General features: G+C 35.7%; 1 protein-coding gene across 3 annotated transcripts in view; it reads right to left on the bottom strand.

The window, feature by feature from the left end:
* Nucleotides 1-26,530, bottom strand: part of STT3B (STT3 oligosaccharyltransferase complex catalytic subunit B) — a 104,692-nt gene that overhangs the window by 30,059 nt on the left and 48,103 nt on the right. For all 3 annotated transcript variants that reach the window (NM_178862.3, XM_011533465.2, XM_017005858.2), the window contains exons 4-5: nt 10,695-10,760; nt 7,099-7,198 (exon numbers count right to left, since the gene is read on the bottom strand). In NM_178862.3, the coding sequence (NP_849193.1) occupies nt 7,099-7,198; nt 10,695-10,760 (166 nt within the window). The remainder of the gene's footprint in view (nt 1-7,098; nt 7,199-10,694; nt 10,761-26,530) is intronic.

Raw genomic sequence — 26,530 nt, 5'->3', positions numbered from 1 at the left:
GGCTGAGGAGGCCTCACAATCAAGGTGGCATGCAAGAGAGAAATGAAAACCAAGCGAAAGGAGTTTCCCCTTACAAAACCATCAGATCTTGTGAGAGTTATTATGCACCACCAGGAGAACAGTATGGGGAAAACCACTCCCATGCATCATTTCCCACCGGGTCTCTCCCACAACATGTGGAAATTATGAGAACTACAATTCAAGATGAGATTTGGGTGGGGACACAGCCAAACCATACATTCTGCCCTGGCACCTCCCAAATCTCATGTCCTCACATTTCAAAACCAATCATGCCTTCCCAATAGTCCCCCAATAGTCCCAAGTCTTAACTCATTTCAGCATTAACACAAAAACCCACAGTCCAAAGTCTCATCCAAGACAAGGCAAATCCCTTCTGCCTATGAGCCTGTAAAATCAAAAGCAAGTTAGTTACTTCCTAGATACAATGGGGGTACAGGCACTCGATAAATACACCCAGCCCAAATGGGAGAAATGGGCCAAAATAAAGGCGCTGAAGGTCCCATGCAAGTCCAAAATCCAGCAGGGCAGTCAAATCTTAAAGCTCCAAAATGATCTCCCTTGACTCCATGTCTCACATCCAGGTCACGCTGATACAAGAGGTGGGTTTCCATGGTCTTGGGCAGCTCTGCCCCTGTGGCTTTACAGGGTACAGCCTCCCTCCTGGTTGCTTTCATGGGCTAGCATTGAGTGTCTGCAGCTTTTCTAGGCGCATGGTGCAAGCTGTCAGTGAATCTACCATTCTGAGGTCTGGAAGACGGTAGCTCTCTTCTCACAGCTCCACTTGGCAGTGCCCCAGTGGGGACTTTGTATGGGGGCTTCAAGCCCACATTTCCCTTCCACACTGCCCTAGCAAAGGTTCTCTTTGAGGGCCCCACCTCTCCAGCAAACTTCTGCCTGGACATCCAGGCATTTCCATACGTTCTTTGAAATCTAGGTGGAGGCTCCCAAACCTCAATTCTTGACTTCTGTGCACCTGCAAGCTCAACACCATGTGGAAGCTGCCGAGACTTACAGGTTGCAACCTCTGAAGCCATTGTCTGAACTGTACCTTAACCCCTTTTAGCCATGGCTAGAGCAGCTGGGACACAGGGCACCAAGTCCCTAGGCAAAACTCAGCAGGGAGGGTCCTGGGCCTGGCCCATGAAACCATGTTTTCCTTTAGGCCTCTGGACCTATGATGGGAGGGGCTGCTGCAAAGGTCTCTGACATGCCCTGGAGACATTTCCCCCACTGTCTTGGCATTAACAGTTGGCTCTTTGTTACTTACACATATTTCTGCAGCCTGCTTCAATTTCTCCTCAGAGAATGGGTTCTGCTTTTCTATTGCATTGTCAGGCTGCAAACTTCCCAAACTTTTATGCTCTGTTTCCCTTTTAAAAATGGAATGCTTTTTAACAGTACCCAAGTCACCTTTTGAATGCTTTGCTGCTTAAAAATTTCTTCCACCAGATAGCCTAAATCATCTACCTCGATTTCAAAGTTCCACAAATCTCTAGGGCAGGGGCAAAATGCCACCCATCTCTTTGTTAAAACATACCAAGAGTCACCTTTACTCCATTTCCCAAAAAGTTCCTCATCTCCATCTGAGACCATCTCAGCCTAGATTTCATTGTCCATATCATTATGAGCATTTTGGTCAAAGCCACTCAACAAGTCTCTAGGAAGTTCCAAACTTTCCCACATTTTCCTGCCTTCTCCTGAGCCCTTTAACTGTTCCAATATCTATCTGTCTGTTACCCAGTTCCAAAGGTGCTTCCACATTTTCGGGTATCTTTTCAGCAGCCTTCCACTCTACCAGTACCAATTTACTGTATTAGTCTGTTCTCATGCTGCTGATAAAGACATACCTGAAACTGGGTAATTTATAAAGAAAAAGAGGTTTAATGGATTCACAGTTCCACGTGGCTGGGAGGCCTCACAATCTTGGCAGAAGGTGAAAGGCACATCTTACATGGCAGCAGGCAAGAGGGAAATGAAAACCAAGAGAAAAGGATTTCCCCTTATAAAACCATCAGATCTTGTGAGACTTACTCACCACCATGAGAACAGTATGAGATAAACCACCCCCATGATTCAATTATCTCCCACTGGGTTCCTCCCACAACACATGGGAATTATGGGAGCTACAATTCAAGATGAAATTTGGGTGGGGACACAGCCAAACCATATCAACATTTATTATCAAATTTTAAAATTATAAAAAAAAACACCTATTACAGGTTATATTTTAATTGCTATTTTGTACTTTATAACACACAAGTGTTATTTCTCCATTATGTTTCTCACAACCAAAAATAGTTGAGTGAAAGTTTATTTTCACTTAAAAAAAAAAGAAGGAACACTCCTTAGATTCACACTGGGGTTTTATCCTTTCAGTCTTAATACAGTAATCACCTCTCTTAGCCTCTTGAACTCTTTTGTCTATCTGGCTATTCCTTCATAACTTTAACATCAACAACAAAAGCAAACACTTAAATAGTATTTTTTTGTGTTCATCTATTATTAAGCACCTTTCATATATTAACCTGTAACTCATTAATCCTTAACAATCTGTAAGGTAACTATTATTATCTTTATTTGACCCATGAGGACATTAAGGCCTAAGGACATCAAAGGACATTAATTTGTCCAAAGTTACACAGTAGTAAGGGAGCAAGAATTGAACCCTGGTAGATTGGCTCTGGAGTATGTACTCTTACCCTCAATGTCATGGCACCTTTTATTTATGGTTACATTACCACAAATTCTAAGTCTGCTTCTGTACTATTCTCTCTTCTCAAGATCAAGACTTATCTCCAAAACTTTTAAAAGAACATGGTTAAAGTCCAAACTGATTTTCACAAATTTTTCCCTATTTCCATTTTGATCATATGCTATTAAATTGATTACACTGTATAATATACACTCCTTACACGAAGGTTTTTATTCATCTTTGTATCATAATGGCTAGCACAAAACAGTATTTATTTTTTCAACACTTAATAAATGTATGGTGAGTGAAATTTGCTTTAATTTCCTCAGTAGTATGGTAGAATTAGACAAAATAAACTCCAGAGCTTCCAGCCCTTGTATCCGGGAACTTTTCTTTTTTTAATGCTGGATTTTTTACATGCAATCTTTTTAAGTTTGTTTTTTCTAAGTTAAACTAGCATTAGCTGTGTTCTGTTTACAGCTGCCAAGTATAAATGTGACTCCTAATAATTTGGCTTTACTTTTAATGTACTCAATAATTGGATTATCTTTTCTTTATTCACAAAATATATAATGCCCATAATAATTTGTACAGAACTAAAGTAGGTAGTATGTTCAAAAAACTTTAATGACGGTTCCCAGCAAATATCATCTAAAAAATACATTTTAGATATAATATGAAAAACAACTGTTACTCTCCTTACTCAACTCACTGCAGAAAACATAGACAATGCCATAAACAAGCTGTTCTAGTGACATTTCAAAAGCATTCATCAATATTAGAAATTGATTTCTTTTCTGTGCTTAAATTACTAACCTAATCTAGTTAATGCAGCCCTTGAGGTACAATTCCTATTTCTATAAACTAAAAACCAAGTCTTATTTATTATAAACTTAACACATACTCATTGTATGTATCTGGAAAGCAGAAATAAGTATGAAAAAAAATCACTGGTAATCCTTACTGTCTGCTTTTAATTAACATTTTCCTGTGTCATCAAATACTCAAAAAGATTAAATTTAAAGGCTGCATAATATTCCATATGGCAACACTGCAATTAAAAAATCATTCCCCTATTGGTCATTTAAGTTAGTTCCATATTTTCACAATTACAAGTTATACCACAGTAAATATCCCTAAATTTGACTTCATATCTTTAATAATTTCCTTATGACATGAACACAAAGTATGATAAGCTTTAATCAAATTAGAAAGCTTAAATCACTTCACATCCCATCAGTTTTACTGTGATTTCCTGCAAGCCATTCTTTCTACAAATGCAACATAAGGTTTGGGTGTTCCTTTTAAAACAGTAGAATCCTATGCATAACATAATTTTTAAACATTTACTTCCCAATATAGTGAAATTCACCAAGTCAAAAATATCTCTTAACAGAAAATTAAATTTTTCCTCCCAAAATTTCAAGTAGAGACGGCCTCCCATCTCAGCTTTTCTTACACCTCCCTTGCTCAATTCCCATGCCACTCTTCTACCACTATACATCCACATTACCACCCATGTGCCTCCTTTTCCACATGTGAATAAACTTTGACAGTTTTCTGTGGTTGTGCTACAATTGATTTTAAGGACACTTGAAAAAATCTACTCAAAGAGGACACAACTTTTTCATAATTATTTAAAATAATTCAAGTCATTTAATTCAACACTTAGAACAACACAACTAAACTTTTAGTTAATATAATTATGAGTCTGACATTTATCAATCCTTATTTTTTTTTACCTAAACATTTCTGCTCAAGGGGAGAGAGAACAAAAGACAAAGGATGTTACGTGCCAAAATCAAAGAACTTTATATACAAACACTTTACAATGCTTCCATAGTTTTTAGGACCATTAAGTTAAGAGAAATTGAACTTAAATCCTGACACACTCTGGATGAAGGAAGAGCAACACTTGCTCTATCATACTACTTTCCATCCATTTAGAAGTAAACCCTAAGAAAGCAGACTAGAAATCATCAAAATACTCCTGGATAATTATAAGTAAAAGAAACAAGTTGGGTAGAGTGGAGAATTTGAACATTATGAACATTAGCTTTATACACACATACATCCCTAACCCATTTTATTATTCTTTCTTCTTAAAATACTCTCAAGAATCAACCAAAGTAGTATGAATTTCATATTTTTCTAGAGTGACCAAAAAAAAAAAAAAAAAAAAAATCCCAGCTACCAAATACAAAGGCCTTTCTCAAATTCTAATCCTTTGAAATCTTGGTGCTAAGGTTAAAGGGGAGTTGGACACTGCTTGAATTTTAAACTTTTATGTAGAATATACTTCCATCTGACCATTTTAACAATATACTTATTTGACTACTTCTGACATCTCCTTTGGCTCTTCTTCCTGAATCATGGCATTTCATAAAGTGTATTTCTCAATCTTCTCTCTCTTGTATTCCTCTGACCATTAAATTTCCAAGATCCCCAATTTTTAAATTTACACAAAACAACAACAACAGCAGCAACAACAAAACACCCTCTTAGTTCCTTCACTGTAACCATTTAACTTAAAAAAAAAAAGTTTAATCTGTTATTTATTATTCTCCTTTCTGGATCCCAACTACTGTTTATAGTGTTTTTGGGGTAGAGAAATACATAGGTGTATGTATTTCAACAGTACGGTTATTTGTTTAAACGAGAGGCACACAGATTTGGTGGTTTTTAGCATCATGGGCCATTCATTCAGTCATTCATGCAATCAGAGACAGGTCTCCTTCTGTCACCCAGGCTGGAGTGCAGTGGCAAGATCACAGCACACTGCAGTCTTGAACTCCTGGACTCAAGTGGAACTCCAGCCTCAGCCTCCTGAGTAGCTGGGATAAGAGGTGTGAGCTACTACAGCTGGCTCATTACAGGCTTTAAAGCCAAAATCTGAGTTCAAGCCTCAGCCCCGTTATTAGCTACATGATCTTTAGCAAATTATTATGTCTCCTCTTGTTTCCTCACCTGTAAAATGAGAATAGTACCTACCCTCACAGTATCAAATGAAAAAGTATGCTGAAATGGCTATAAATGTAATATACTATGCTTTTTTATTTTGTTGAGATACAATTAATATACTATAAAATTTATCTTTTAATAACCTATCATGTAATGGTTTTTGGTGTATTCACAAGGTTGTGCGACCATCACTACTATATAATTCTAAAATATTTCCTCATCCTTGAAAGAGACCCCATATCCATTCAACAGTCACACCTCTCCTCTCCTCTCCACATTCTCCTCCTCCTAAATCCCCAGGCAACCACTAATCTACTTTCTGTTGCTATGGATTTACCCATTCTGGACATTTCCCACAAACTCTACTTTCTGTTTCTATGGATTTGCCTATTCTGGACATTTCACACTAACAGAATCATATACTATGTGGCCTTTTATGTCTGGCTTTTTTACATAATGGTATAAAGTTTTCAAGGTTCATGTTGTAGCATATATCAGTATTTTATTCCTTTTCATGGCTTAATAATACACCATTGTATGAATATACCATATTTTATGGTTTCATAAAGCTGATAGACATTTGGGTTGTCTTCATTTTTGGCCATTATGCACAATAAATGCTGCTATAAACATTCACATAGAAGCTTTTGTATGAATATATGTTTTCGGTTCTCTTGGGTAAATACCTAGGAGTGGAACTGCTTGGTCATATGACGAATCTATGGTTAACTTCTGAGAAATTGCCAAGCTACTATGCTTTTGAAAATGAATTTAATTAAGATTTATCTTTGTGTTATTGTTTTCCAAAAACATTATTATAATAGAATTGTATTATTTTACTAAGACACTGGTTTCAGTTCACAATTGCTCTCTAGTTCCTTCAACCCATAGAAGTTCTAACTCTATCATGGAAAATGAGATCTAAGGTGAAACATCATCTACCGCTAAACATCACAGTGAAAATATTGTTTTAAAACCTGTAGAGAAAAATGAACATTTTTCTAGAGACAACAGAGACTCAGTCTATTAGTACATTATCCAAAAAAGAGCTTCTGAAAGCTTATTAAGCTGCTTACTTTGAGGATGTCAATCTCTTACAGTAAGTTGAATTCGATATAAAAAATGTGAACGATTTTCATGATAAAAATTCCCATTCCCCAAAATTAAGAGGAGGAAAAAGTGTAGACAAATATTAAACCCAGACTAATTTCTACAAAAACGAAAAAAAAACTTGTCAAGGAAAAGTTGATGACAAAGCACTTATATAAAAATGCCTGACCTTATCAATATAAACAGCAAAATGAACACAAAATTATTTTTACCTTTTCATGCATAATATTGACCAAATAGAAATATCTCTTCAATAAAATGAATGAATACAAAACATCTCTTAGTTGACAGATGTCAAAAATCAAATTACTTACCTATGTAGACTCTTTTGCTGTATCTCTGCATCAGTAACAACACAAATACATGCAGTGGAATAAGATTGATGATAAATACATAACCACCCCAAGCAGAGACCTATAGGAAAAGAAGTGCTAAGTTAAATATATATTTTTACTTTTTAAAATAAGTATATTTAGGAATCTAAACATACAATGAGCAAATATAAACATTAAGATTTTAGCAATTTTGAGAAATGCTTAAATAAGAACTTACTAACCTATGAAGAACGTATTCCTCATTTTTATTGATCATTAAAATAACACGATCCCACAAATCCAATATGCTTTTCCAAACGCACTGGAGAAATGTTCAAATTAAATTAGATTTAATAGAAAAGCTGAGAGTATTATAATTTGTGAATTGTCAGTAAACAGACTGTCATAGAGACAAGGAGTTTTAGGATATAGATCATAAATTTTGAAAATAAAAAAACGGGTTTTACCTCACCCACTTTTTATGACAAATTTGTTGTAAGAAAGGTCACTGAGAGTAAGAGCAATGAAAGGACTCACTGACAACTAAAAAAAATTCAGATGACATGAATACGCTTTGAGATTCTCAAAACTAAAAGTGCTAGTTGGGCATGAATTTTTTTCTTAAAAATGGATTACAAAGCAAGATCCCATTTTAATCTTTGGCTTATACAATATACACTATTTAGCCAGAATAACTGAGGATGTTCTTGGTCTACATTAATGAATATTCTAAAGAGAATCTCCATTCTCAACCAATAGAATTAATTAATTTTTTGGTACACTAAATAATAGGTAATAAGCTCCTGTCAATATCAAAGTTCTTAGATGTCCTCTAATAATCAGAGCTTGAAAGGCTCATTTGTATCAACAGTCATGTTAGCAGACTATATGCTAGCATATCTATTCCAATAATGCTTCTCTTACGTAAAATATTTCAGAACCCCTTGTGGAGAACTGCCATCAGTTTTCAATACATACATCAGTTTTCTGCCTTGGTCACATGCTATTTTTCACAAAAAACAATGTTATTCTAATGGAGCGCCAGTCCTATCTGAAAGACTTCTGATTACTTTAAAAATTTAAGTCTAAATTTGAAAGAGAACAAGTTTGATATTGCTAAGTACAACTACCCAGAATGTGCCCCAGGCTCTAACCACTTTAACTCAGATAACTTGGATGCACATATTCCATGACATTTGTTTAAAAAGAAAAAAAAGATTAGCTCAAATTGTCATTAATTTTCAAAACAAGACTACTATACAGGCTATGGTGTAGAAAAAAAGAGAAAGAAGAATAAAAAGGTAATACTGAACCCCAATCTTAAGAAACCTGTTTAAAAAAATATGTAGGTGGCTGGGCACATTGGCTCACGCCTGTAATCCCAGCACTTTGGGAGGCCGAGGCAGGCGGATCACCTGAGATCAGGAGTTCGAGACCAGTCTGACCACATGGAGAAATCCTGTCTCTACTAAAAATACAAAAATCAGCCAGGCATGGTGGCACATGCCTGTAATCCCAGCTACTCGGGAGGCTGAGGCAGGAGAATCGCTTGAACCCAGGAGGCAGAGACTGCAGTGAGCTGAGATCATGCCATTGCACTCCAGCCTGGGCAACAAGAGCGAAACTCCATCTCAAAAAAAAAAAAAAGTAAGTAAATTTACAGGTTAACCTAGAGGATATGACCATTATTTCGGTAATGACTCTAGGTATCTACTACATTAAGGTTGAAAATTGAGCATAATATCAATATGCTACCTTATCTACTCTCTTCACTTAAGAACAAAGAAAAGCTGAAACCAGTCTGACAGTGAATCTGATGTTCTGAAAAGTACTTGCTGATCTTATGCATGATCTTTAACTACAGGGATTTATTTCTTCTCGGACCCACATAAATTCATTTTAAGAGTTTTCCTTCATTTACTTTAAGGAGTGAAATGAAAGCAAATGGGCCAGAAGAACAGTCTTTCTACAGCTTTTTCTCAATCCGTCTCTCTTTTTAGTTAACTCTTTACTTGGGTTATCTTTTTCACCAAAACTTCCAAGTACTCTTATTTCTCTGTTCTAAGTTCACTTCACTAAACTGTTTAGATAATGACTGTTTAAAAACTCAGATTTTAACATTAAGCAGTTATCTAGTCAACTCCAATACGAAAAACTAATTTTTAATACCATATTTAAAATTGAGTGTTAAGTAAAAACTTATTTCATCTAAACATGGTTCCATGCTTGATATATGACAGGCAAAATTTCCTGTTCTTTTTGAGTATGCAATCTAACTTGGAAAATATTTTACTTGTCAGAGCTATTTAAAAAATAAAGCTAGGGGCCAGGTGCCGTGGCTCACACCTGTAATCCCAGCACTTTGGGAGGCTGAGACAGGCAGATCACTTGAGGTCAGGAGTTTGAGACCAGTCTGATCAACATGGTAAAACCCTGTCTCTACTAAAAATACAAAAATTAGCCGGGCATAGTGGCACACATCTGCAATCTCAGCCACTTGGGAGGCTGAGGCGCGAGAATAGCTTGAACCCAGGAGGCCGAGGTTGCCGTGAGCCGAGATCGTACCACTGCACTCCAGCCTAGGCAACAGAGCCAGACTCTGTCTCAAAAAAAAAATAATAATAATAATAATGAAATAAAATGAATAAAGCTAGGAAGAATAGAAAAATAATATTTAAATTTAAGTCATTAAAAAGTTAAAAAACAGGCACGGCAGCTCTTGCCTATAATCCCAGTGCTTTGGGAGGCTAACGTAGGAGGATTGCTTGAGGCCAGGAGCTTAAGACCAGTCTGGGCAACAGAGTGAGGATCTGTCTCTACAAAATATTTTTTAAAATTAGCCAGGCGTGGTGGCACATGCTTGTAGTCCTGGCTGCTCAGGAAGCTGAAGTGGGAGAATCACTTAAGCCCAGGAATTCAAGGTTATAGTGAGCTATGATTGCACCACTGCACTCCAGATTGGCTAACAGAGAAAGACACTATCTCTGAAAAAAGAAATGACAGGCCAGGCATGGTGGCTCATGCCTGTAATCCCAGCACTTTGGGAGGCCGAGGCCAGCAGATCATGAGGTCAGGTGTACAAGACCAGCCTGGCCAACATGGTGAAACCCCGTCTCTACTAAAAATACAAAAATTAGCCAGGCGTGGTGGCGGGCGCCTGTAATCCCAGCTACTCAGAAGGCTGAGGCAGGAGAATTGCTTGAACCCAGGAGGCAGAAGCTGCAGTGAGCTGAGATCGTGCCACTGCACTCCAGCCTGGGCAACAGGGCAAAACTCCGTCTCAAAATAAATAAATAAATAATGAATATAATCTTAAAAAATTAAAAAAAATTCTTAATAAAACATTTAAGTATTTTGAAGTGGTACACTTGAAAACATTTTGTTTTACTTGCTGCAAATATTTGAGGGGTTAAATGTTAGCCCTCTCCACCAAAGCAGGTGTATACAGGACCTGTGAGTAGGAGAAGGAAAGAGGATGGTAGTAATGAAAGATTACATTAAACAAAATAAAAATCCTACAGACTTCAGGAGAAAAGAACTGTTTTAACCTCCAGAGACCTACTAGACTTCATGTAGTCTCAAATATGAAATCTTACCATATAGAAATAGGATAAGCAGCAGCACATTGTCCAAAAAACTGACCCAGTTTTTACAGATTTTACCTAAAAAACAAAAGCAACTGATATAATAAAAATGTTTACAAATGTTCTTGCGGAATTTTTAAAAGTTAAATGTTTGGTAACCACAGGCTACAAAAAGTCAAGGTTATTCTAAAAAATACTGTGGTTATTCAGATATGCAGACATACTTCATATATGCATTTATAACACTGAGCAGCACACTGAGACATTTTAAGAATAGCTCTCATTCTCTGTTATGTAGTTTTCAGTAAAAAGAATCATCTTTTAAATAACAAATTACATTTTTCTCATTTTCTGCAAAGTCTCTTGCCCTCACTGATATCCACACACCATGCCACAGGTCACCATGGCCACCTCCTACCCCTTCTCCTTAGGTGTCTACACTCCAGAGAGGTCTTTTGCTTGTTCAGCAGTGCCAAACCAGTTCAATGGGCTGAACCACACCCTACGCAATGAGGTGTGAAAACCTTCCAAGTTTGCCCTTTCCTGGGTACTCTCCCTCAGCCTCAGGATACCATATAGAGTTTCCTTCTATTTTAGTTACTCTTTTATCATAATTAATACTTCTTTCTCTCTCCTAACTGAACCCAGACTGCTATAATCTATTACAATAAAACCAAGGTATATTTTACAACCACTAACTACAGTTCATATCTTGGAACTTCCCCAGACTCAATCCAATTGGCTGAAAGAGAAAAGTAAATGAAACATATTTTTCAGTATTTACTAATACACAGAAAACTTTGCTAGGCTATGTTGGACACAAACTATAACTCAGTCCTGTACTGTGGAGATAAGATACAAAGGCAAGAACTTGAGTCAAACACAATATAAAAGAGACTCTACGGTGAGTATAAACACTGAGTACCAAAAGGTCCTTATAGAGCCTGAATGCCAAAGGCAGGAAAGCAGTTCTGGCTGGGATAAAATTACCAGAAGCTTTACTGAGGTGGTGGTTTTGGGCAGAACTTTGAGGGCAATGAGGCAGGAAAGATGCAAGGCATCCAATCAATCACCCACAGTGGATTCAGTAGCAGGCACAGATGGAAGAAGTATAGGTGTGGAATTTAAAATTTTTAAGCCCACAAAAAGCTCACAATCTAGAGGAGGAAGTAAACTGAAAAGCAAGTAACCAATATACCATATTTCATAGAAACTATGACCATCACTCATAACATACATCCTAATTTCAGAGATGTCAAAATCTGGGGAGAAAGTATACATTTTAGGATTGATGAAAGGTACTATATACAAAGTGTTATAATAGAGGTAGGTATCAGAAACTAACTGCATGAAAACAGAAATGAGAGTAACAAAATCTATGTAAAAGAATGGTCAAAATGTCAAAGCAGGCACTGAAGAATTATAAACAAGGAGAGAGGGATCAATAACGAAAAGGGGAAAACAACACCACCTGCCAAAACAGAAAACAGCTGAGCTACTCAGAAGGAACTGAAAAGACTTTAGGAGAAAAGTTAGGACTTTGTAAGTATGGTATTATGATATATGGACTTTCATCCACAGTTCGTGGCTCTTAACTCCCCTTGTTACAGAATCTCTGTCTCTGAACTTCTCCTACTCACTTTTCACTTCTCCACTTGGCAGGGCTCTAATTTGATTTTGGGTCATAAGACCCTCATTTCAGAGAGGGTTCTGCCCCATACCTGGAGGAAGGAATGCTGCACAGAGAGGCCAAGAAGAATCTGAACAGATAGACTTTGCTGGGTTTAGGTCACACTCTTTTTGTCCAGTCACATTTTGACAAGGTTGTCCATGCTTCAATCATGGACAACCAATAAAGTCTCCATAAAAGGCCCAAGGACAGGGTCTGGTGAACTTCTGGACAGCTGAATACAAGGAGGCTGACAGGAAGGTGATCAAGAACTCATCCATGTACCAGGATGGTGGTGCACCCCAACTCCATGGCAACAGAAGCTCCTGCACTTGGGACTCTTCCAGATCTTGTCCTACGTATCTCTTCATCTGGCTGTTTATCTGTATAATTTAGGGTATCTTTCATAATAAGCCAACAAATTGAACTAAGTGTTTCCTTGAGTTCTGTTAGCCGATCTAGCACATTAATCAAACCTGTGAAGGGGGGCTGGGCCCAGTGGCTCATGCCTGTAATTCCAGCACTTTGGGAGGCCGAGTCAGGTGGATCACGAGGTCGAGACCATCCTGGACAACATGATGAAACCCCGTCTCTACTAAAAATACAAAAATTAGCTGAGCGTGGTGGTGCACGACTATAATCCCAGCTACTCAGGAGGCTGAGGCAGGAGAATCACTTGAACCCGGGAGGTGGAGGTTGCAGTGACCTGAGGTCACACCACTGCATTCCAGCCTGTGGACAGAGCGAGACTCCATCCAAAAAAAAAAAAACCTTGAGGGGGTGATGGGAATCCCTAATTTAAGCTGGGCTATCAGAAGTTCTAGAGGCCCAGACTTTCAACTGGTGTCTGGGGGCATAAGCTGGGACAGTGTCTTGGGGACAGGCCCTCAACCTGTGGGATCTCGTGCTATCTCCAGACAGACAGTGTCAGAAATGATAGGGAGGACACCAGCTGGTGTCCGCAGCAGAATTAACTGCTTGGCAGTGGGGAGAAATCGCCAAATATTTTGAGGTCACATAAGTCTTCTGTATTGATGATTATTGTTTTGGTGTGAAAGCAGAGAAAAAATATGGATTGAGTTTTTTCCCAGACAATAAGTCATGCTCACCATTTGGTCTTCATTTACACATATTAAGGAGTCCAGTAGCAGAGGCTTTGAAATAGAAAATTGCATGTTCGGATAAGCTATTTTTAAAAATAACAAGGGTAAGCTTCAACCCAAAACTATAAGACATGCAAAGAAACAAGAAAGTGTGACCCAAATTTGGACAGGTATAGGCTGGGGAAGGGGACATGGTTGATAAAAACTACTTCTGAGTGGGCCCAGATGTTGGAGTTAGAGGACAAAGACTCTAAAACAGCTGTTATATGTTCAAGGAATTAAAGAATACTATATTAAGAAAATTAAAGAAAAATATAATGATATAACACAAAATTTCCATAAAGAAACAGAGATACATATTCTCCTATACATGTGAGAAATAAGAATGAACTAGAAATTTTAGAGCTGAAAAGCATAATAAATGGAATAAAAAATTCACTAAGTAGGCTTAATGGCAAATTTGAGATGGCAGAAGAATCAGTGAGCATGAAGATAGGTCAACAGGAAGTATCCAACCCAAAGAACAGAGAAAAACAAAGTTCAAAAAAGGAGAGGCTACAAAGACAGACAGATAAAAACATTTAAAGAAACAATTACAACTTCCCAAATTCTAAGGTAAGCACTAATCTACAGATCCATGAAACCCAAGAAGCCACCAAATACAATAAATACAGAGAACTACACCTAGACAAACTGTAGTCAAAGTACTGGCAGATAAAGACAAAGAGGAAAAGTTGAAAAGAGAAAGAAAAAAAAACCCACAAGGAAGTAACGATATGATTGACTTTGCATCAGAAAAAAAAATTTTGACAGAAGGCAGTGGAATGACATACTCACAGCGTTAAATGAAAGAGAAAATTATCAAGTGTTCAATGAAAGAGCAAAGTATCATTAAAAGTAATGGGAATAACCGCAATTACTTTTGCACCAACCTAATATATTCTTACATAACTATCCTTCAAAAAGGAAGGCAGGTGAGGATTCTGGGAAGATACTGAAAGAAGAAGCAACAGAAATCAGCTCCCCACCTAGACAATAATTGCACGGGCAGAATCAATCTGATGTGAGGAAGCTTGTCCTCCAAGTACTGAGGTTCTGCACTCTGCTCACTGATTGCTGCTTTTTGTCATAGAAGAGCAGACAGAAGTGATCACCTTTGCACTTTGGCCCCAATGTTGCAAGTCCCTCCTCCTCTGGCTGAAGTGACTGACAGGGGATTTAAAGGGCTGGCACTTTTTTCCCCTTCATTTTTCTGCTTTTCCCCACTTTGGAAACCAAATACTAAAGACTATGACATTCAAAATCAACCACATATACAAAGAAATATATGACGGGAAATTAGAAAGTCACCGTGAATACCCTGGAGAAGGTGTAGGCCTTTACAAATGGGCAATAAGCACATGAAAATATGCTCAACATTACTACTCATTAGGGAACTACAAATAAAACTCCAAGATGCCACCTCACACCCATTAGGATGACTACTATCAAAAGAACCAGAAAATAACATGTGTTGACAAGGACAGGGAAAAATTAAACCTTTGTGCAGTGTCGGTGGGAATGTAAAATGATACTGCTGTTGTGGAAAACAGTTTGGCATTTCCCCAAAATTTAAAAATAGAATTGACATATGACCCAACAATTCCACTTCAAGGTATATACTCACAATAATTGAAAGCAAGGTCTTGGAGAGAGATTTGTATAACCACTTTCAAAGTAGCTAGACCATAAAAGTGTCCAGCTGCAGATGAATCAATAAGCCAAATATGGCATGTACATACAACGGAATATTATTCCACCTTAAAAAGGAAGAAAATCCTGACATGCTACAACATGGATAAACCTTGAAGACATTATGCTAAGTGAAAGAAGCCAGTCACAAAAAGACAACTACTATATGATTCCACCTATGTGAAGTATTTAGTCAAAATCATAGAGACAAAAATTTGAATGGTGGTGCCAGGGGCGGAGGGGAAGGTGGAAAGGAGAGATATTGTTTAATGGGTATAGTTTCAGTTTTGCAAAATAAAGAGCTCTGGAGATGGATGGTGGTGATGGTGGTTGCATAATCAATGTACTTAATGCCAATAAAGTATATACTTAATGATTAAAACATAAATTTTGTGTTATGTCAATTTTACCATAGTTTAAAAAAACTGGGGGAAAAATGAAGGCAAAATTGAAAAATCCCATTACAGCAGATTTGCTCTAGAAAAAATATTAAAGAAAGTCCTTCAGGCTAAAAGGAAATTATAAAAAATGGAAACTCAGATCATGGGACAGAATAAAGAATACTGGAAATGGTAAATATGGAGTATATAGAAGACTCTCTTGATTGTTTTCTTAATTTAATAAGTGTAAGTTATATGAATATAAATATAATCTGTATTGTTAGGTAGATAACATACATAGATATAATACATACGACAATAACAGCACAGAGGAGAGGAGAGAAAAAATAAGGCTGTGTTGGAGCAAAGCTGCTATATTTTACCAGAATTATGTTAAGTAGAAGTAGATTGTAATATTAAGATGCATAATTCGTTCTCTGCATCAAGCGCTATAAATAAATAGCAATAACAGGCTAAACAATCAGGGGAATTAAAATGGTATACTTAAAAATGCATTTCAACACAAAAGAGGACAGTAAATGGCAGGTGCAAATCAAACAATACTTAAAACTCCAATAAAAAGGCAGAGATGGTCAGTCTGGATAAAAAAGCAAGATCTAACCATACGCAGTCAATGAAACTTTTAAAATCCAGAGATACAAATAGTTTGATTTTAAGGACAGAAAAAGATAAGCCATGGAAACAGGAATCATATGAAATCAATCAAACAAAGCAGATTTTAAGACAACATTCCTAGAGATAAAGAGAACTACTTCACTATAATAAAAGGGTCAATATACCAGGAAAATGTAAAAATTTTAAGTATACAGGGACCTAAAACAAATCCTTAAAATATATAAAGCAGGAACTAACAGAACTAAAAGAAGAAACAGTTTCTGAGAGGCAGTTATTGAAATCTCCAACCATATTGTTGAAGATAGAACTTGAAAAGAAAAACGATGAGCATATAGAAGATTTGGACAATATCAACCAACTTGACCTGACCATTAATTTACAATATGCAACCTCCAAACAGCAGAATACATGTTCTTTTCAAGCATATGTGGATCACTGTCCAGGATGGAGAGCATGCTTGACCAGGATCCAGCAATCTTGTTTTGAACAGTCAAGATAGTAAATATTTACACTTAGGAGCCAGATCTGTCACAACTATGCAACTCTGTAATTCTGGTGTAAAAGAAGCCAAAGACAGTATATGTTTATGAATGGCCAGGGCTGTGTTCCAGTAAAATTTTATTTACTAAAGCAGGTAACCTACATATGGGCCATACTTCACAGACTTCTGTGCTAGACCATAAAACAAGTCTCCATATACTTAAAAAGACAAATTATACAAAGTATGGTCTTCAACAACAGAATTAGAAATCAACAAAAAAAAGTATGCTAAGAAAACCCCAAATATTTGGAAATTAAACACCATGCTTAGAAAAAACCCATGAGTCAAAGAAACTATGAATTCGAAGAATATTCAACCACATGACAATGAAAACACCACATATTAAAACACAGAGACTACAGCTAAAGAAGTAAATACAGTATATTCTAGTATAAATAGTTATACTAGAAAAGTAGAAATGGAGAAAATAACTTAAGCTTCAACTTTAAGAAGCTAGAAAAGAGTAAACCAAGTGTGAATTAGAAGGAAATAATGAAGACGAAGAAATCAATGCAATTGAAAATATAAAGGAAAAAAAAATCAGTGAAACCCAAAGTTGGATAAGCTTTATCTAGACTAATGAAGAAAGGAGAGAAGATACAAATTATCAGTACCAGGAATAAGGAAGGTGACATCACTACAGATTGTACAGAAATCCAAAGACTTATAAAGAAATATTATGAACAATTTCTGCCGACAAATTAGGTCATTTAGATAAAATAAAAAAACTTTTAAAAAGATACATATTACCAAATTACTCATGAAAAAAGAAAATCTGAATAATACGATGTCATTAAAAAGCTTAATTCATATTAAAAATCTTCCCTGGTCCACATGGCTTCAATGGTAAATACTGCCAAACAAACAGTTAAAGAAGAAGTAATACCAATCCTACGAGAATTATTTCAGGAAATAGGGCAGGAAAAAGTACCCTGTCCAACGTGATGTTAGAGGTTCCAGTCAGTACAACCAGGCAAGGAAAAAAAATTAAAGGTATACAGTTTGGGAAAAAAGTAGCAAAGACCCTCTGTCTCTGAAGATAACATGATCTTGTATGTAGAAAATCCTAAGGAATCTAAAAAGTAAATTTTAACATGCAAATTTAGCAAGGTCACAGAATATATGATCAATACATAAAAATCTACAATACTTCCCAATTTAAAAATGTACAATGAAGTTATAGTAATTGGGTCAGTACAGACAACTAGATCTATGTTTATGAGGTAGGCATAGACATCTAGATCAATGGAACAGAACAGACTCCAGAAATAAATTCATAATCATGCCCCCTGAGATCAGGACAAGATACAGTTGTTCTCTCTCATCACTCCTATTTGCATTGTAATGGAAGTCCTAGCAAATGCAATAAGACAAGAAAAGAAAAGAAGTACACAGACTGAAAAGGAAGAAATGAAGCTGACTTTTTTTCGTGCATGACATGATTGTCTACGTAAAAGACCCCAAAGAATCAGAAAGAAAATTACTGGAATCAATAAATGATTACAGACAACACTGGAGGATACAAGGTTAATACATGAAAGTTAAACTTGTTCCTATATACCAGTAATGAACTGAAATTTAAAATTAAAAACATAATACCATTTAGCACCCAGTACGTATTAGCACACACACAAAATGAATTACTTAAGTATAAAACCAACAGAATATGTGTGGAATCCCTATATGGAAAACTACCAAACTCTCATGAAAGAAATCAAAGATGTAAATAAACAGAGAGATATTCCATGTTTATGATAGGAAGACAATGTTGTTAAGATAACAAACCTTATCTCAGCAAGTGACTTTGTGGACATCAACAAATCAATTTGAATGTTTATATGGAAAGGCAAAAGACTGAGACTAGCTAACATGATATTGAAACAAGACTGATACTACACCTGACTTCAAGACTTATCATACAACTACAGTAATCAAGACAGTGTGGGAAAAGAACAAACAGATCAGCAGAACAGAACAGAGCACAGAAATAGAGCCCCATAAATATAAACTGACCTTTGACAAAAGGCAATACATAGAAAAAGAATAATTTTTTTAACAAATAATGCTGTAACAGCTGGACAACCACATACAAAAAAAAATCAATCTAGACACAGATCTTATACTTTTCATGAAAATAACTCAAAATGAATCACAGACATGAATGTAAAGTGCAACACTTTCTAGAAAACAACACTGGAAAAATCTACATTGGAATAAAAGGCAAAAATCTAGTGGTAGCCCAAACATGGCATGAAAACTGTATTCCAACAGAATTTACAAATGGCTTTCTTCCTCTATACTGAGCAAATCTAGCAGAAATGTAGTGCATCCAGATGACTAAAGAGACATTTTTGTAAAAGGATTTTTTTAATGGATTAGGCTTAGGGAATTAACTTTACATAATTCTCACAAATTATGAGGTCCTCTGTTTCTAGAATAAGTTAACATTTCCTAACTGATTTAAAAGAAATAAATATTTGAGACAAATATTTTAAGGGTAAAACTCAATTCTATTACCTATATTATAGTGAAGCACCTAGTACCTGCACAAAAAAAAAGTCCATATACATGCGGCCAGTGACTATCTTATTAAACAGAGTCGAAAGTTCTATTGGAAAGTAGTATTGCTCTAGGCCTACAAACATGGGCCATCTTGTGTTTTGGTTCACAGTATTAGGAGATGCACTGAATTCCACTTGTGCTTGGGATGTGGAAAGCTGCAAGAGAATGTTATTTTCACCTCAACAATAAGGGAAAAATTCTAGATGATCTACAAAATAGTAAGTTTTCTTAGGCTTATCAGAGAGCTAAAGTCACAAGGCAAATAAGCAAGTGTTAAAACAGCTAAGGAAACCAGACATAAGAGGAATTTACATTCACAAGCTCTTTTCATAAGCCCTACCAAGTAGTCATGAAAAAGATTTGGAGTAGGATAGAAGTTCAGCATCCTTGGTGACACTGTCAGTCACATGGGAAATTAGAAAATATCTGAGCTAGAAAATTAAAATAGAGCATAAAAACTCTGTGCAATTCTTATAGTAATTTGTACACAGATGTTTATAAATGTTTAAAATGTAATAAAAATGCACACAGATGTTCACAGAAGCGTTATTCATCATAGACAGAAATTAGAACCCAAATGTTTAATCAACTGAAAAAATGGAGAAATACAATGTGATAACCATACACTGGAATATTATTCAGCAATAAAAAAATAAAGTATTTATAAATACTTCAACATAGACAAACCTTGAAAATACTATTGTAAGTGAAAGAAGCCAGATGTAAAACAGGTAAGGTCGCTCACACTTTGGGAGGCTGAGGTGGGAGGGTAGCTTGAGGCCAGGAGTTTAAGACCAGCCTGAGCAATATAAGGAGAACCCATCTAATTTGAAAATTTTAAAAAAAGATACAAAAGGCAACATATTATATAATTCCTTTTATATGGAATTCCAGAATAGGCAAATCAGAGAGGCAGAAAGCAATACCGGTTGCTAAGGGCTGGGGGGATGTGAAAATGGAAAGTCACTGATCATGGGCGAGGCTTTTTGGAGTGTTAAAATGTTCTGTAACTGGATAGTGGTAATGGTACAACTTGGTTAATATACTAAAAGTCACTGAATTCCATTCCCTAAGAGGATAAATTTTATAATATGCAAATTATTTTTCAATAAAAAAATTTATGGGGTACAGCTAAAGTACGTAAAGGAAAAATTATAGCTTTCGGTGCTTAAAATAGATCAAGTCACTAACCTGATCGCCCAGAAAAATTAAAGCAAAAATGAAGAAGATCTAAATAAATGGAAAGAAATACCATATTCACAGATCAGAAGACTACATATTAAGATAACAATTCTATTCCAAACTGACCTATACATTCAATGCACTTCCAATCAACATCCCAGAAGGCTTTTCCGTTAAAGAAGTTAATAATGTGATTCTAAAATTTACATGATGCAAACAGCTAAAAAAAGCCAAATTAATTCTGAAAAAGAGAAATAACATTAGATTACTCATGCTACCTGATTTCAAGAGTTTCTAGAAACTAATGAAAACAACATAAGGTATTGTTATATAGACAGACACAGATAAACAGAAGAGTCCCAAAACAGACCCATATGTATATATTCAATTGATTTTGACAAGGTTACCAAAGCAGATAATTCAGTGGAGAAAGAACAATCTTTTCAACACATGATGTTGGAAAAACCTAACATTCAAACCCAACAACCCTTATATTGCACCAGACCATAATCAACTTAAAATAGATGACAGACCTGACTGTTAAACCTAAAACTATTTAATTTCTATAAGTAAATACATGAGACAATCTTTGTGATTTAGGGTAGGCAAAGATCTCTTAGAGAAGATACCAAGAGCAAGATCTATTGAAAAAAAAGCTGATACATTCCATAAAAATCAAAATTTTCTGCTCTTAGGAAGAGACTAGAGAAAATGTTTGTAGAGCACACATCTGATAAAGTATTTCCAAAATATACAAAGAACTCTCACACCTCAAGAGTAAGAAAACAACTTAATCAAAACATGGGCAAGATATGAACAGACATTTCATCAAAGAACTGGGATGGCAAATAAATACGTGAAAAGATGCTCACCAGTCATTGGGGAAAAGCAAACGAAAGCCATAAGATACTACTACCTACCTACAAGAATGGGTAAAATTTAAAAATGTGACCATGCCATCTGATGGAAAAGTAGAGTAAATATTACTGTCATGTATTTGTGGAGGGAATGCAAAATGAATACAGCAACTTTGGCAAACTGCTTGGCAGCTTTTTATAAAGTTAAACCTATACTTATCACACAAACCACCAATCTGTGCTTATGCATTTACCTAAGTGAAATAATAATATATGTCCAAACAAAGACCCACAAGCAAACATTTTATAGCCACTTAATTCATCATTGCCAAAAACTGGAAAAGAAATTGTAGTACATCCATATAATGGAGTACTATTCAGCAATAAAAAGTAACAAACTACTAAAACATCAACAACATGGATGACATTCTCAAAAATATTATGCTAAGTGAAGGAAGACGGATATACAGGGTCACGCCTACTGTCTGTATTTATATGGCATTCTAAAAAAGAAACTCCCAAAGCTATATAGACAGAGAAACAGAAATCAGACCAGTGGTTGCCAGAAATGGGGTAGGGAGAAGACTGACTACAAAGGTACAGGAGGGAACCTTAAAGAAACAAAACAAAACAAAACAAAAAACAAAACAAAACAAAACCTGTAAGAGGCAATATGATAAACACTGCTCCTTGTACTACTTTATCTGTGTTAATTACTTTTCTGAATCATATACTCTGGTGCTCGTAAATAATAACAAACATGTACTCATTTCTTACTATGTTCTCACAATATTCTATACCTTTACATGTATTAATTTTTAAGTTATATAAGGAAGGTACAATTATTACTTCCATATTATAGTTGATGGAACAGGCACAGGGTGGGGATTTAAACAACCTCCAGTGACAGAGCTGGAAATCAAACCAAGAGAAAACCAAACCCTGGCAATTATGCTATAGACTTTACTCTCAATCACTCAATCACGATGAAAATGTTTTAATCTCTGTAGAACACAAATCCAAAAGTGTATCCAAAAATGTCTATCAACACCAGCTTGTAACAGTAATAGGGCATCAACAAATAATAATGCTATGACAAAGTACTTATCTTTTAAATTTTAAAAACATGTACCTTTTAAAAGAGTTGGTTTAAAAATAAAAACACTGGGTGAGGAATTAGACAACTTAACATTTATATATTAGAGATTACAAAAAATGTTTTCACCTTTTTATAACTTCATTTGGGCTACAAACAACTTTTCATAGTAGTTAGAACTGTAATTATTTCCACTTTCAATTAGTAATAATGAAATTTTAAATGAATGTCATCATCTATTATAATTCTGTAGGCAAAACGTTTTCTGTATCTTAAGAGAAAACTGAATGAGATTCAAAAGTGTCAATTTGTCAAGAGTCAGAGAGTATTTTATGCCAGAACTCAAACACAAGTGTTCTAATTTTCAAATACTGAATCTATTTCCACCGTAAACCTAATTTATTTAAATATATTGTTTTTAAAAAGAAAACAAAGGAAAAACTCACTAGATAACCTCCCAGTTTCTGGGTGAGAATGTTTTACCATTCCATCCTTCTGTTAATATGATCCTTCAAAGCAATGATATCTATAATTTCTTCTACTAGATTATCAACTTCATATAACCTTGTGTAATCAACACATAAAACAGCACCTGCTCCATATTGTATTCTACAAAAATTTCTGTTGAATTAACAAAACAATATCATGCCACTTAAAAAAAAAGATGTAATGAACAAGCTAATCTTAAAACTTATGAAAATGCAAGGCACCCCATATAGCCAAAGCAATCTTGAAAAAGAACAACAAAGTTGAAGGACTTATGCTTTTGGATTTCAAAACTCATTACAAAGCTACAGTAACCAAAACTGTGCGGTAGTGGCATAAAGACACAACATACAGATGGCAAGGGAATGGAACAGAATTGAGAGTCCAGAAATAAACTCATACATTTATAATCAATTGATTTTTGACAAAAGTGCTAAAACCATTCAACAAAAAAGAGTATTTTTCTTTAACAGTGCTAAGATAAGTGGATATCCACATGCAAAAGAATGAAGTTGGAATTCCTCTCTCACACCATATACAAAAATTAACTCGAAATGGATCAAAGACCTAAGTGGAGGAACTTGACATATAAAATCTTTAGAAGGAAACAGAGGTGTAAGTCTTCATGAGCTTCAATTAGGCCAACAGTTTCCTTAAATATGACACTAAAAGCACAAGCAACAACAACAACAAAAATTAATTAGACTTCATAAAAATTTAAAATTCATGCAAAGGACACTATCCAGAGTGAAAAGGCAATCCACAAATATGCTCAAAAGTAAAGGGATTCAAATGTTTCACTACCAAAAGAATCCACTAAACACAAAAGAAGACTAATGGAGAAATGAGGGACAAAAAAAAAGCTATAAGGCATGTAGAAAACAGCACAACCACAGAAATCAGTACCTCTTTACGAGTAATTACTTCCAATGTGTATTAAACTCTCCAAAAACAGAGATTGGCAGAAAGAATAAACACATGATCCAACTACATGCAGTTATGTAAGAGATGCACTTTAAATCCAAAGACAAAGAGACTGAAAGGACAGAAAGTTATTCCATGCAAATAGTAACCAAAAGAGAGCAGGGATGGCTATACTAATATGAGAAAAGACAGACTTTAACTCTATAAAATTCAAAACAAAACAAAATGAAACAAAAAAAGGCAGGGTGTGGTGGTTCAAACCTGTAACTCCAACACTTTGGGAAGTGAGGAGGGAGGATTGCTTGAGCCCAGGAGTTCAAGACCAGCCTGGGCAACATGGTGAAACCTCATCTCTACAAAATTAAAAAAGAAAAAACAGACTTTGAATTTTTTTTTTAAAAAAAAGGTTACAAAAGAGAAAGAACCCAATATATACAGCAATAAAACAGTTCAATACAGCAAGAAGGTATAGCAATTGCAAACATTTATGTACCTGATAACAGACCATCAAAATATAGGAAGAAAACACTTGACAGAATTGAAGAAATAAACAGTTCTACAATAATAGCTGGTGACATCAATACTCTATTCTCAATAATGGATAGAACAACCAGACAGGAGATGATATAGAACTTAACACAACAAACCAACTAGGTCTAAAAGACATGCACAAAACACATTATTGAATAACGACAGCATACACAATTCTTCTCAAGTACACATGGGACATTTTCCAGGACAGACAATATGTTGGGCCGCAGATTAAAGCCAAATATTAATTTCAATAGATTTAAAAAGACAGATACCATACAAAGTATCTTCTCCAACTACAACAGGATGAAGTCAGAAATCAATAACAGAAGGAAAACTGGGAAATAAATTTGTGGAAGTTAAACAAGATACTTACCAACAGATCAAAAAATAAAAATGAGAAAATACTCAGAGATGAATGAAAACAAAACCACAATGTATCAGAACTTATGAGACACCGTCAAAGTAGTACTAAGGGAAAACTTTATAGCTATAAATGCCTACATTCAAAAACAAAAAAAAAAATCTCAAGTCAAAAACCTGACTTCACAAACTACGTTGTGAACTAGAAAAAGAACAAACTAGGGCTGGGCGCGGTGGCTCATGCCTGTAAACCTAGCACTTTGGGAGGCCGAGGTGGGTGGATCACGAGTTCAGGAGTTCAAGACCAGCCTGACCAACATCGTGAAAATCCATCTCTACTAAAAATACAAAAATTAGCCACACGTAGTGGCAGGCGCCTGTAGTCCCAGCTACTCGGGAGGCTGAGGCAGAGAATCGCTTGAACCTGGGAGGCAGAGGTTGCAGCGAGCCGACTGCGCCACTGCACTCCAGCCTGGGCAACAGAGCAAGACTCCGTCTCCAAAAAAAAAAAAAAGAAGGAAAGAAAAAGAACAAACTAAACCCAAAGCTTCCAGAAAGACAAAATTGAATAAATAATAAAGACTATAACAGAGATAAAATAGAGTGCTTGCTTCAGCAGCATATACACTAAAAGAGAGAAAAGAAAAAGAACACAGAAAAAAATCAATGAAACCAAAAGTTGGTTCTTTAAAAAGAGCAACACGATTGACAAATCTTTGGCTAGATTAAGTAAAAAAGAGAGAAGACTCAAATCACTAAAATCAGAAAGCGGGACATTACTACTGATTCCATAGGGAACAAGAAGAATTTTAAGAGAGTATTATCAAGTCTTGTATGCCAACAAATTGAATAGCTTACATCAACAAAGTCCTATTAATAGAAACACAAAAACCTACCAAGACTAAGTCATGATGAAATAGAGAATCTGCAGAGACAACTTGCAAGGAGACTGAATCAGCAATCAGAAATCTCCCAAAAAAGAGAAGTCCTGGTCCTGATGGCTTCACTGGTGAATTCTACTAAAACGTTTAAAGAACTGAACCAACACTAATCCTCCTCAATCTTTTCCAAAAACTGAAGAGAAGGGAACACCTTCTAACTCATTCTATGATGCCAGCATTACCCTAATCCTAAGACAGACAGACACTGCAAGTAAAGAATATTATAAACCAATATCACCTTATGAACACAGATGCATAAATCCTTAGGAAAATACTAGCAAACCAAATTCAGCAGCATATGAAAAAGATTATATACCATGACCAACTGGGACTTATTCATGAATGTAATGTGCTCAAAATTAAAAAATGCAAATGGTAGTTCACTGTGGGTGATTTTTTTCTTTGTATTTTTCTGTTGCATAAATGTCCACAAAATAGAATATTTTATTTTTTAAATTTATTATAAAGTATTTGAAACATACACAAGTGTAGAGAATATTAAAATAGTTATGAACCTAGCTATTCAGACTTTCAAATTCAAAAATTATACATTTGCTTCAGAATATTTGATTTAAAATTTTTTTAGCTGAGCTAGGTGAAGCTCCCTTAATATTGCCCACCTCAGTATCACCCACCCACCCTCAGGAAAACCCATTATCACAAAGCTGGCGTACATGCAGCTTATCTATCACATTTTTATACTTTCTTTATAAACTGCTATTAACAGACATAGTATGATTTGTACTGCTTAAAAACTTACATCAAGGATTTCTCATACTGCACATATTTTATCACAACTTATTTTTCCACTAAGCATTATATTATCAGGATCTAGCCACATACGCA

The sequence above is a fragment of the Homo sapiens genome, chromosome 3, assembly GCF_000001405.40.
Source record: "Homo sapiens chromosome 3, GRCh38.p14 Primary Assembly".
NCBI classification, from domain to species: Eukaryota; Metazoa; Chordata; class Mammalia; order Primates; family Hominidae; genus Homo; species Homo sapiens.
Note: the sequence above shows the minus strand (reverse complement) of the source record. Positions and strands in the feature narration are given on the sequence as shown.